Source organism: Homo sapiens, chromosome X (genome assembly GCF_000001405.40).
Source record: "Homo sapiens chromosome X, GRCh38.p14 Primary Assembly".
NCBI lineage: Eukaryota > Metazoa > Chordata > Mammalia > Primates > Hominidae > Homo > Homo sapiens.
The window spans coordinates 80,548,404-80,562,552 of record NC_000023.11 but is presented as its reverse complement, the minus strand read 5'-3'; the positions used below and the strand labels follow the sequence as shown (position 1 = coordinate 80,562,552).

The window sequence follows — 14,149 nt, the reverse complement described above, 5'->3', positions numbered from 1 at the left end:
TGTGATCCATTTCATTACAAGTAAAATATTACAAAATATTTATAGGAAAATTAAAATAACTCAAAAACAAAATTAAAAATAACTTAAAAATAACTCAAAAACAAAAGGCAAGATGAAATAAACTGGTTTTTCAGAAATCTCTACTCTAGTGTCCACAGCACACAAGAACAGAGTCAAAACAAATAAGCAATTAAGATCCCCCGATCACAAATTTCCAAATAATTAGAGTAGGGCAAGAAATAGGATGAGAATGGTGGTGTGAAACGGAATGGATGTTAGCAGCACTGCTTCAATAACTGATATATTCTGAATGAAATACCCTCTTTTATGTGTAGTAAATTCTGAACAAGGCTAAATTTTAGGATACTTCTTGAACTGAAATTAGAAAATACCCTGACAATGGAAGCAGCTCTCTCATCTCAGTTTAATAAGAGCCTCTTTCTTTCTCCATTGGCCACTGTTGTGAACAGAAGCCTGTTATGGCATCAAAAGCTGTCAGAGTAGCCCTTCCATCTCTTTCATGAAAACCTCATAGACATCATCCTTAGTTTGTACTGAGACAGGAACAGAAGAACCAGATTTGGGTGCTGCTTTGGCAAGAGGCACAGCAGAATCATCCTCTGACTTTCTTTGGGGAGCAGCAGTAGCCCCTTTATTCTCCCAACGAACTCTCAGTGCAGTGGGCAGAAGTAGAGTAATCTCTGCCTTGGTATTATTGATCTGTGACTTGCCACTGATGGTTGCTGTGGCTTTCTTCTCAATCGTGGCTGCACTCATATCATCCGCTTTGGGTTGCTGAATCAAGTTGGGTGGGGCACTTAAAAAACCCCAGGGTTCGGCTAGGGAGGTGGTGGGAAAAACCCAGGGGGGCAGGTCCAAGGGGAGGCACCAAAGGTGGGCGCATCATGCCGGGACAAGGTGAGGGAATACCTGGAGGTACTCTTGGTGGGGGTCCCCAAGGAGGGGGACCAGGAGGCATACCTGCAGTTGGACCTGGGAAAGGGACAGGGGGTCAAGCCTCATGGTGGTCCTGGAGGTAAAAGTTGGGGTAAAGGCCCTTGGAGTCCTGGCATTTCAGATGGTCTCAGTAATGGAGGAGCTCCTGGAGGTGGACCAGGAGGAAGGCCCGTAGGTGGCCCAGGAGGCCGTAATGGTAGAGCAGGTGGTGGTCCAAGAGGTGGTGGTCCTGGCATGGGAGGTGCTTGTATCTGAGAAGGAGGAGCAGACCTCAGGGGAGCCTGCTGCTATGAAGAAGCAGTGGATGTGCCATCAGCATGAGATTCTTCTTTATTCTGTTTTTATGATTGCTTTTCTGCTTCAGAGTCATCAGAATCATCTTCATCACCGTCCGCTGAAAATTCTTCTACTGCCCATCACTCCTCAGGGATTTCTTGACCTGCCATACGAAGCATCATAGCTTGAAGAGGAGTTAGTTCCTTCATGTTCTTCTTTTTTTCCTTGATTTTCCAGGCATATTTGCAAACTGTACACTAGGACCTGACTTCTTTTCTTCATTGTTGTCTCTCTCACCATCATCATGGTGCACAAATTCATCCTCCTCACTTTCTCCATCTGATCCGTTGGTGTCACTGTCATCAGTACTTTCATCATGCTTATCTTGATCCATGTCCTCAGGATAGCCATCATCTTCACTGGTGCTAGAAACATCATCATCATGACCTCTCTGGGCAAGTGCAGGACTATAAAATATGTCTTCATCTCGCCTACATGGGGGAAGATCTAGGGCGAAACACACTTTACGGCCGTACATCTGCACGACTTGAGAAGGAGGTGGGCCAGAGAGAGGGCAAAGAGGTTTTCTGCCATGGGGCGAACGTGGAACACCATGTCCAAGAAGAGCCAGGATAGAAACTGCCCGAGTTGGACGTCCATAGGCTGAGGTTTTCTTAAGGATGGAGGGTGGATGGGCACCGGGAAGTGGAATGTCTTGGATCAAAATGTTGGAAGGAATATGTGGCATATCTGACAAAGGAATACTCTCCATTTCCACATGCAGAGCATTCTTGACGGCATCAAAATATTGGCTAAGTTGAGCCCTCTTCTGTTTATACTCTACTTCTAGCTTTCTCAGTTCTTTGTAAATATTTGGATTCTCTTTTTCATAGAGTCGTAGAATACCAAAGGTTTCACGCAGCTTTTTACGCTTGTCTTTTAATACTTTCTCATTTAATTGTGGCTGTTATACTGGGTTAAACTCCATTTCATCCAATTTCTCCATGTCTCAGATAATCTGTTTGGGATCCTTCATCCTTAAAACTGGAGCTGGAACCATCTTGTGCTGTTTTTTGCTCTTCTTCAATTCTCTCTTCTGGGCTTCCTTTTGGGCTTGGTCTATGGGGCTCATAAAGTTTCCACTCTTGGTGGATGATGTAGATCTCCATTCCATGGTCACAATTTGTATGTTTTACTGGTTCATTTAAAAAAATATTAAGAAAAACCCTTCTGCTGTGCTCCCAGGACTGCGAGAAGCAGGGAGGGTGGGATTTCTGGCCTCTTAACTTCTTAAGAGCCTTCAACTCGGCCTCTCGGTCAACCCCTCAGCCACCACCATCTTGAAACCTCGCGTGCCTCCTAGTGACGCTATTTCTTGAAATATTTGGTAGAATTCAACAGTGCAGACAGTGAAGACAATTCATCCTGGGCTTTCCTTTACTGTGAGGTTTTTGATTACTGTTTCAATCTGTTTACTCATTATTGGTCCATTCAGATTTTCAATATCTTCATGATCCAGTAAGTTATATGTTTCTGAAAATTTATCCATTTTTCCTAAGTTATCTAATTTGTTGATGTATAATTATTCACAGTGGTCTTTTATAATCTTTTGTATTTCTGTGATATGGGTTGTAATGTTTGCTCTTTACGATTTTATTTGGGTTTTCTCTTTTTTTCAGTGTCACTAAAGCTTTTTCTGTTTTGCTTACTTTTTTGGAAAAATAATTATTGGTTTCGTTGATTTTTTCTTTTTTTTATTGTTAGGTCACCAGATTTATTATTTAACTCTGAAATACTATATTCTATACTTATTTCTATTCTCTTTTTATATTATTTCTGCTGTAATCATTATTAATTCCTTCTCACTTTGGACTTAGTTTTTTCTTCCTTTTGTAGTTCATTGATATGTAATATCGGGTTGTTTACTTGAGATGTTTTTTCTTTTAAAATGTTGATTTTTTATTGCTATAAACTTCCCTCAGTAGTGTTTTAGCTACATTTAATAACTTTTGGCATTTTGTGTTTTAATTTTTATTCCTCTCAAAATATTTAATGATTTCCATTTTTATTTCTCCTTTGACCTATGTGTTTTTTAGATGTGTGCTGTTTAATTTCTACATATTTGTACATTTTCCAATTATCCTTCTGTTATTGATTTCTGGTCTCCTTCCACTGTGTTTGGAAAGGAACTCAGTATTATTTAAATATTCTTAAATTTGCAAATACTTGTTTTGTGGCCTAAGATGTGGTCTGTCCTGGAAACATGTTCTATGTATTTGAGATCAATGTGAATTTTGTTGCCCTTGGGTGGAATTGTCTCTATGTAGATATATAGCCCCATTGGATCTACAGTGCTTTTCAAGTCCACTCTTTTCTTACTGATTTTCTGTCAGGATGATTTACCCATTATTAAAAGCAGGATATTGAAGTATTTTGCTGTTATTGTACGGCTCTCTATTTTGTCCTTAATTTCTGTTATTTGCTTTATGTATTTTTGTGCTTTGATATTGGGTGCCTTATATATTTATGCCTTCCTAATTCATATTTTTATCATTTTATAATGCCCTTGTTTTTTTCTTGTGACAGTTTTTTACATAAAGTCTATTTTTGTCTAATGTAAGTATAGGCACATATGCTTTCTTTTGCTTGCCATATATATGGAATGTCTTTTCTATACCTTCATTTTCAATCTATGTGTGTCCTTAAAGGTGAAGTGAGTCTCTTGTAGACAGAATATAATTAGGTTTTATTTTATTTTTCCATTTAGCTATTCTATGTATTTGGGTTAGAAAGTTTAATCCATTTATGTTTAAAGTAATTACTAATAGGAAAAACTTCCTATTTCCATTGTGTTCATTACTTTTTGCCTGTTTTATAGTTCTTTTGTTTCTTTTTTCTTTTCTTGATGTCTTTTTTGTGTCATTAATTTTTTTGTAGTGATGCTCTTTGATTATTTTCTTTTCTATTGAGTAGCTTATTTTCTTCTAATTACCATGAGAATTTCTTAAAACAGCTTATAGTTATAATAGTGTATTTCAAGCTGCTAACAAATTAACTTTACTCTCCTACATAAATTTTACACTTTTACTTCTTTTCCTCCCCATACTTTATGTTATTTTTGTCACAATTTGCATCTTTTTTTTGTGAATATGTCAACAATTCTTGTAGTTATAATTATTCCTAATATTTTTGAATTTTAACTTTATACTAAACTTAAAAGTGATTTGTGCATCATCATTACAGTATTAGAATATTCTCTTTTGTTTATAAATTTACCTCTACCAGGGAGATCTATACTTTTACAGGCTTTCATGTTGTTATTTAGCATTTCTTTTCTTTCAACTGAAAGACTTCCCTTTAACATTTCTTAGAAAGCAGGTCTAGTGGTTATGAACTTTCTCAGGTTTTTGTTGTCTGGGAAAGTCTTTATCTTTCCTTCATTTTTAAAACACAATTTTCCCAGATATGGTATTTTTAGGTGTCAGGTTTTATCTTTCCTTCATTTTTAAAGGACAATTTTGCCAGATACAGTATTTCGAGGTGCCAAGTTTTTCTTTCAAGTTTTGGCATGTATCATCCTACTTCCTTATAGGTAGTGAGGTTTTTGCTGAGAAATCTGTTGATAGTCTTTGGGGAGGCCCTTTGTTCTTCAGTCATTTTTTTTTTTGCTGCTTCCAAATCTTTTATCTTTGACTTTTGACAACAATTTGATTATAATGTGCCTTGTTATAGAATTATTTTGCTTCTTTCTATTTGAGGTCTTTAGGCCTCATGAATCTAAAGAATAATTTCCTTCTTTAGATTTTGGAATTTTTGACCATTATTTTTTTAAATAAGCTTTCTGTCTCTTTTTATCTTCTTCTTCTGACAATCCCATTACGGATACAATGGTTTTCTTGATTGTATCCAACATATTGCATAGGTTTTCTTCATTATTTTTCATCCTCTTTTATTTTGGCTTTTCTGACTGGATAATTTCGAATGAGTTGTCTGAGTTTGCTGAGCCTTTCTTCTTTATGATTAAGTCTATTGTTGAAGCTTTCTATTTAATGTTTAAATTTTGTTATTATATTGTTGAGCTCTAGAATTTCAGCTTGGTTCTTTGGTATGGTTTGTCTTTTTCTTGATATTCTCATTGTTCAAGTATCATTTCCCTCATTTTATTTGTCTTTCTGTGCCCTCTTATAGCTCACTGAGCTTTATTTTCTCAATTCTTTGTGTTCCCTGTAGCTTTACATTGGTGTCCAAACATTTGAGGAAGCCTCTCAAACGTGTGTGTGTGTGTGTGTGTGTGTGTGTCTGTGTATGTATCTTTTACTCTTCTCCCTCCCTCCTTGGGGAGAAGTTTCAGTGTTGTAAACCTTCTTCTAATTACACACAGCTGTGCTGGCCATGATAAGCTGTCCTCCTCTTTTACCTAGAATGGTGCATTTATGGGCTTGGACATTTGATGCACACTCCACTTCTCTCCCTCCATTCAGACACTTTCAGGGTTTTGCACCTTCTCTCAATATTATGGAGCGATGTCAGCTGACATTTATCTTCTGCTCCTATTTATTTAGAACAGTGCAGTAAAATGCTGTGAAATTAAGTGCAAACTCAAGTTCTCTCTTCTTTCTGAAGAAGAGCATTCTGTGCTGTGTGCCTTCTAAAGCAGCTGCATTGTCTGGGATATCACCTGAGGCCCTTTGTCTCCTGGCCATGGAAATCAAGGATGTGGACACACAAAAGGCGAGGTTAGAGCAGAAGTTTAATAGGTGAAATGAAAAAAAAAACCAGCTCTCTGTCATAGAGAGGGGTCCTGAACCGGTTGCCGTGCTGGAGTAAAAAGTAAGGGTTTTTATACATGAGCTAGTGGGGAGGGGATATCTTATCTACATAGGGTGTAAACAACTGGTTAGGACCAGGCATGCCATATACAGAGAGCAGAGTCTCTGGCAGCCCCCATCCCACTCTTATCATGCAGGTGAGCTCTCAGCTTGGGGTACTCCATGCTGCTTATCGCCTTCCACTGTGCATGTGCTAAAAAAAGGTAGGGGGAGTTTCTGTTTCTTGTCCCAGGTATCTCCTTGCAGCTGCAGGCACTTCCCTGACCCCCATGCAAGCTTCCAGCTTTCCTATCTTAGTGTGCCCAAAAAATGGGAAAGGAATGTGCACATTAAGGCTCACTGTTTTTACTGGGACCCATCATATGTATATGAAGTTTGGTGATTACCCAGGAAACTCTCTGTGCTGGAGTTGCTTATCTATATTTCACAGCCCAATCTTCTAGGCTGTTCTTTGTTAGAAGAGAAGTGATTTCTTGAAACAGTGTGTGATTAGAAAGGAAGTAATTTCTGAGCTGCTTCTTGTTAGAAGAAAAATTCCTGCCAGGGACTCTTTTACCTTAACTATCTACCTAAATAATTTCTTTCTATCTCCTATCTCACTTCTTTCTATCTTGCTGAGATATGCCAGGTGATGAGACACACCCACTCATTTTCCCCAGGGCAGTACACTATAATGCCATGGGGGGATGCAAGATATACATCTCTTCCTTCATCCTTAAGTGGGGTCTCGGGATTGTGCACCTTCTCTCTATCCTGTAGAGTCATGCTGGCTCCTGATAGCGTCCCACTCCTTTTCTCTAGGGAATTGCATTGAAGTGTTGGGAGATTGAGATCAAGATCCATTTCTTTCCCTCCCTTGTGGATATGAAGTTTCTCAGAATTATGCATCTTCTGTTAATCCTGCAGAGTAGTGCCTGTTGCTCATAGCCACCAACCACTTTTCCCTACAGGAGTCCATTGGAATGCCAGAAGCCGGGTGCAAGTTCTACTTTTCTCCCTTTTTTCTGAGGAGAAGTGTTAGGATTGTGTATTATTTCTCAATCCCACAGAACCTTGCAGACTTCTGAGAGGTGCTTGCTTCTTTTTCCTAGTGTGGTGCACTACAACTCTGGGAGACAGAGAGCAACCTCCACTTTTCTCCCACCCTCCTAAAAGTGAAGTCTTGAAAATTGTGCACCTACTTTCAATCCTTCAGAGCTTTTTAGGCTGCTGAGAGCCGCCATCTTTTTTTTTGTTCTTATCTGTTCCCAGGCATTTTAACTAAGCTGGTTGCCTCAGCATTCTGAGGAAGATGCAACAGACATAGATCTCTCAAGCATTGCTCTTTATGGCTGAGGATGTCAGATGCATGCTTCAGTCAGTCTTTCCCCTGAGGGAGAAATCATGGGCCTAGTGGATGTTTCTTGGCACTGAGCTGTGCTAGCTTCTGGGAGAGGTTCACATGGTTAAAGGTAAACAGCTCTTATTACCTGTTTCCAAGTTGTTTTTCTTTATTTTGTGCTTATCTGAGGTGTTGCAACTTCTTACTTGGATTCTGGAGGCCTTAGAAAGGTAATTTGGCCCAAGTATTTTTGTTTTATTATTGTTTCTGTGAGTAGATGAGGGCTGAGACCTCCTGTTCTGCCATCTTGCTGACATCACTTGACATTATATTGTATATAGAAAATCCTAAAATTCCACACAACCAATCCATACACACATTTGAGTGTAATAAACTCATCATACTTTGATGTTTGGCTTCTGACAGCTTTTCAGCCTCACGTCTACTTTTTCTACCCTGTATCTGGGAAAGCTAATAAGAATGCCTAGTTGTTCCCTTTTTGGTGTTGGCATAAAGTTGAAAGCATGCAAACTTTATCCACACATGAGAACCTTCACCACAGCTTCACTTTCTAATACCATAAAAACTCTCAAACAACTTTCCTTTCTGTGTTCTCTCAAGTGACTTTGGACATACTTAAAAAGTTTGCACTGCTATCCAAGAAACTCAATATGTGTGTCGTAAGCCTTTTCTTAGCTGATTAGTATGTTTGTGGCATCATCAATATTAACAGCTAAGATCAATTTTTGGTGTGGGACTGTAGTCTTCTGTTTCTGTAATATGTCCATAACAAATTACTGCTATCAGCAGGATGTACAGGCACTGGTCATGTCCACCAGAATCATACCCCTCTTCCTTTGGCTTATGAACTGTCTCTGCTACTTGTTGTTGACAATAGTCTTTGAGCTACTGTTTGTTGACTAGCATGCTCTCTCAGCATGCTAGTCAACAATGTACCATTGCTGGCTGGCCAGTTTGACTTCTGAGTTGTGCAGCTTTGTACTGTGTTTGCTGAGTTATACTGAGCTTTTGTTACACATTTACCAGAATTAAGTTGTGTAGCTCCTTTGAAAGTCAGTTTGAAAGTTTCTCAAAAAATTACACATAAAATTACCCTATGACAAATCAATCAAATTCTTAGGTATATGTGAAAAATAATTAAAAGTATATGTCTATACACAAAAATATTTGTAATGATGTCATTTATAATATTAAAACAGTGGGAAAATCCTAAACGTTTATTAACTGATGATTGGCTATAGAAAATGTGTATACTCTTACAATGGGATATTTTTCAGCCATAAAAAGGTATAAAGTATTAATACATGCTCCAACACGGACAAAACTTGGAAACATGCTAAGTGAAAGAAGACAAACACAAAAACACATGTATTGTATAATGCCATTTAATGAAATGTCTACTGTAGCCTAATATGGAGAGACACAGTAAATTAGTAGTTATCAGGGGCTGAGCAAAAGAAGTTTGTGGAATAATTAGTAAGGAATGTGTTCCTTTTTGGGGTGATGAAAATATTTTCAATTATATAGTGGTGATGGTTGCACAGCCTTATGAATATACCAAACATCACTAAATTGTACACAGTAAAAATATAAATTATATGGTATGTGAATTCTATTTCAATACTGATAGTAATAAAAAATTAAGTCATTAAGTCTTAAGTAAGTACTTAGTAAGTAAGAACCTCATTAAGTCTTACCTACACTCAAGGGGACAGAAATTAGCCTTCCCTTCTTAAATGGATTAGTATTAAGTAATTATTGAACATACTTTTAAAGCTAGTACATGATCTCATATAAATCTACACTTTTGTTTTATGAAATCTTAACCATCCTATTGCTTTTTCTGTCATCTTTTCCCTGAAGAGTCTCAAATCTGCATCTCTAGGCTTGATTTTTGTCCTCAGTGCCAGACCTGCATATTCTACTGTCTGTAAGGCAGCTCACACTTTAATTTTGATGTGTGAAAACTGAATGCATCATATCACTTCTCACCTTTGCCTTCAAATTTTCTCTACTACCCTATGTGTGGTAGCCATAATTTTTCTTCAAGAAAAAATCCTGCAGTTTTCAAGTAATACATCTTTTAGTTCCATCTCAGTACTTACACTGAGGTCATGCTCTCCCTGGGCTGTTCTGGGCCAATGATTGGACATAGGAGAAATACTAAATCTGGGTAATTTCTGCCTAAAGTGGGACACTTTTAATAGGCAATGTTTATTTTGGCCCTTTTTATTATTTTAGATGAAGCTTTCTTCAAAGATGCACTGCAGTCTGATGAAATTTAATCAAATTCTTCTTTTTTTCTGTTTTCATTGGTGTCAGGCTATACTGCAATCTAATTGATCTTCTTGCCTACTCCTCATATCTTTTTCTTCTATCCTTCACAGGAATTTTCTCAAATAAATCTTATAATTCATACTCCTTCTCTAAATCTTATTTCTTGGGATCTGAATTGACACATCATGTTACTTTTCTCATAGGAATTACACCATCATTTGCTTAATCACTCAAGCAAAAAAAATTGAGATTACTCTTATCTATTATTTCCACTGCACATTCTACAACCAATTTGCTACCAAATCCCAATGATTCACTGGTCTCAATATTTCTAGATCTCTTCTCTTTATTACCACTCTTAATGTCTTTGTTAATGTCTCTTAATTTCAAATTTGTCTTGTTCAATAGTCACTGAAACTGATTGCTGTAACTCTTGGCTGATTATAATAACAACTATGGATAACATATATTGTGTATTTGGATAATGGATAACATATATTGTATATTTACTATATGTGAGACTATGCTAAGAACTCTCTGTGCATAATTTTAATTCTTAAAATAACACTATGAGGTAGGTATTATTATTATTATCTCTTTACAAAACATTAGTTTCACTACAAAATGAGAAAGAAAGAAATAAAATTTCCCATGGTCCAATGCATTTGGAAAACACTGGGTTAAGTAAAATTAAACATGTTCTCTTACTGTAAGACTTCTTAACTTTTACTATGCTAATTTTCATTATTAATTTTCAACAGGAAGAAAAGGTGATCATGCCCAAAATTATTTGGCCACAGAACTCCATCCTCAAAGAGCAAGTCATGGGACTCTATAGAGTACATTTTGATAAACACTTTACAAGGCATTTCTTAAAAAGTGCTTTCTAATATTTTTCACACATGACACCCATCAAAACTGAAAATATTTGTATAACTTACTGGACAATACTGCAATCTAATTGATCTCCTTGCCTACTCCTCAATAGAGGAGTACTGGAATACTCCTCTATTCTGTCTCTGTCTATACAGAGACAGAAGCTCAGGGCTGGCCAATGTTGAGCCCTAGGCCCCACTTGGCTTTCTCAAACATTGAGGAGAATAATACACTGGCATTCTTCTAACTCGTTCCTAACACACCAGTGAGCCCCTGTAAAGTCATTAGTAAGCTCTTCCCCAAAATATAGAGTATGAGCTGATGATCTAAGACCAAGGCAAAACAACAAAAATGAAAGTTTTTCACTTATGTTTTAGCCTTTCAATAACTTTTTAAGCCCAATTTACTCAGGAAGTTTGAGGTTCATATTTTTAATAATGTTTTTTGCAAGTAATATTGAAGTGAGGCAGGGAAATACAGGGAAGGGAAGGGTGTGGTTCCTGGCTAGGGCTCCAACCCCATGCTTGTGCTCAAGAACATAGGTGAAGACAGGCATTTCTGTTTTCCTGCCCAAATATTGCATTTTCCAAGACCATCCTGATCCACCATTCCTCCATCATGTGCCTAAAAAAACCTCAATACTTTAGCAGGCCGGCACGCAAGCAGAGAGGAACGCACTGGCATAAGAGCTCACCAACAGATATCGGCATACCAGCAGGCCATCAACAGGTGGAACAGTGTGGAGTTTGGCCAGGACAGTTGGAGGAGAGCCCCAGCCGCTGAGTGGCCCAACTCCAGGGGAAAACCACCTTCCCACTCCATCTCCCTTCTGGCTCCCCGATCTGCTGAAGAGCTACTTCCTCTCAATAAAACTTTGCACTCATTCTCCAAGCCCACGTGTGATCCAATTCTTCCAGTACACCAAGGCAAGAAACCGCAGGATACAGAAAGCCGTCTGTCCTTGCGATAAGGCAGTTGGTCTACTTGAGCTGACTAACACAATGGCCACCTATGGGAGGCTAAACTGAAAGGGCATACTGTAACACATTCACTCCTAGACACTGCCTTGTGGTCGGAGCTCCACAACTTAGCCATCTGCGAGCTCCCTCTAGAGGTTTGAGCACAGGGGCACTGAAGAAGCACATCACACCCCCATTGCACACCCTGCAGAGGGGACAAGGAAACATTTTTAGTTTCAAAAGCAGTTGGTTTTAATATACTTTTAAATCTTCTGTTATCCTATCAGAACCATTTCTGAACCACATGAGAAAGCATGTAAATTTTATTTTGTGAATTAGGGGTTTGTGTGTGTGTCCTCACGGGCCTAGCCACAATGTAGTGGAGGCTCAAAGGCAGAAGAAATACGTCATTTCCAATAAGTGCCCCCAAATTTTATATATATATATATATATATATATATATATGTATTTTAAATAGATGTAGAATTTGCAGTTTTAAGGGTATTTAAAATAAAATTTACCTGCCGTGAAGCCTATCACACTTTTCTTTGGGGAATTACACAGGAAAGAGTATGCTTTCTTTTCTATTAATGATTATCTAGTTCTCCAAAAAGATCTTTTAATGGCCACAGTTTTCTTCAGGAACTGCTTAAAGTCAGCGAGACAGTGCTTTGCTACTATACTTTCCTGTACAGTCGTTATTTTTTGACTTACTGTTGCATCTCATGAACTTAGGAATCTTTCTGTTTTCTCCCTGTATTCTGTTAATGTGTAGAAATTGCAGTTTAAAGAAAATAATTGACATTTCTTTTTCACTTTATAATTCTTTCTTGGCTTTGTTACACAATTTAGGTAATTTCAAGTATGCATTTTTATCACTCTCAAGCAGTATTAATATAGACCCACTGAAAACCAGCAGAAGTATCTTAAGACCCAGGTCGCTGCTGGAGTGACCACAAAAAAAGTCAACAAATTCAATAAGATTGAATTATATCAAATATATTTTCCACTACAATGGTATGAAACTATAAGTCAATAACAGAAGTCAAACTGGAAAATTCACAGACATATGCAAATTAAATAACACACTCCTGATCAACTAACCGGTAACAGGAGAAACTAAAAGGGAAAATCAAAAAAATATTTTTAACTAAGGAAAATGGAAGCAAAGGATACAAAATCTTAGGGGATACAGCAAAAGCAGCTCTAAGCAGCAATAAACGCCCACATCAAAAAGGTAGAAAGATCTCAAACAACCTAACTTTATACTTCAAAAAACTAGGAAAAGAAGACCAAACTAAACCCTAAGTTGGTAGAAGGAAAAAAGATAATAAATATCAGAGCAGAAATAAATGAAATAGACCCTAAAATACATTAGAAAAAATAAACAAAACTGAGGTTTTTTTTCAAAATATAATTAAGATAATCGTAGCTAGTCTAAGAAAAACAAAAGTGTCAAATAAAAACAGAAAGCGGAATCATTACAACTGATACCATATATACAAAGGATCATAAAAGATGATTATGAACAATTATATGAAAAAAATTAGGTAGCCTAGAAGAAATGGATAAATTCCTAAGCATATACAACCTATCAAGAATGAATCATGAAGAAAAAGAAAGTCTGAGCAGACTAATAATGAGTAAGAAGATTGAATAGGTAATAACAAGTATTTCAGGTCTTGATAGCTCTACTACTGAATTTTGCCAAACATTTAAAAACCAAATGATACCAATTTTTCTCAAACTCTTTCAAAAAATTAAATAGAAGATACTTCCAAGTTCATTTTAGGAGACCAGCATTACTCTGATATCAAATCTGAACAAGAAGACTACAAGAAAAGAAATTTTCAGGCCAATGTTTTTTATAAACATAGATGCCAAAATCTTCACAAAATGCTAGGAAATCAAATTCAACAGCACTTCTAAGAGATCATTTACTGGCCAAATGCAGTGGCTCATGCCTGTAATCCCAGCGCTTTGGGAGGCTGAGGCGGGCGGATCACGAGGTCAGCAGTTCAAGACCAGCTTGGCCAACATGGTGGAACCCCATCTCTGCTAAAAATACAAAAATTAGCCAGGCATGGTGGCGGGCACCTGTAATCCCAGCTACTCCAGAGGCTGAGGACGGAGAATCGCTTGAACCCGGGAGGCAGAGGTTGCAGTGAGCTGAGACTGCGCCATTGCACTCCAGCCTGGGCGACAGAGCAAGACTCCGTCACAAAAAAAATAAATAAATAAAAAAGAAAAAGAAAAAAAAAAAAAGAAAGAGATCATTTACCATGATCAAATGGGATTTATCCCATGGATGCAAGGACGGTTCAACAGACACACACACACACATATGCACACACACACACACACGCACACATTCACACACATCTATAAATGCAATACACCACATTAAAAGAATGAAAGACAAAACAATATGACCATTTCAATAGATGCAAAAAAAGTAACAAAATTCAATGTCCTTCTGATAAAAGTAAATAAATTAGGTATAAAAGGAACCAACCTTAACACAATAAAGATTATATATCATGAGCCTACAAAAAATCGTACTAACTGCTAAAAGTTAGAAGCTTTTCCTCTATGATCACCAGCAAGAATAAAGGCCTACCGTATCCACTTCT

The 14,149-nt window shown here is 37.5% G+C and overlaps 1 pseudogene; it reads right to left on the bottom strand.

Moving 5' to 3' along the window:
• WBP11P3 (WBP11 pseudogene 3) lies at positions 1–2,585 on the bottom strand (annotated as a pseudogene).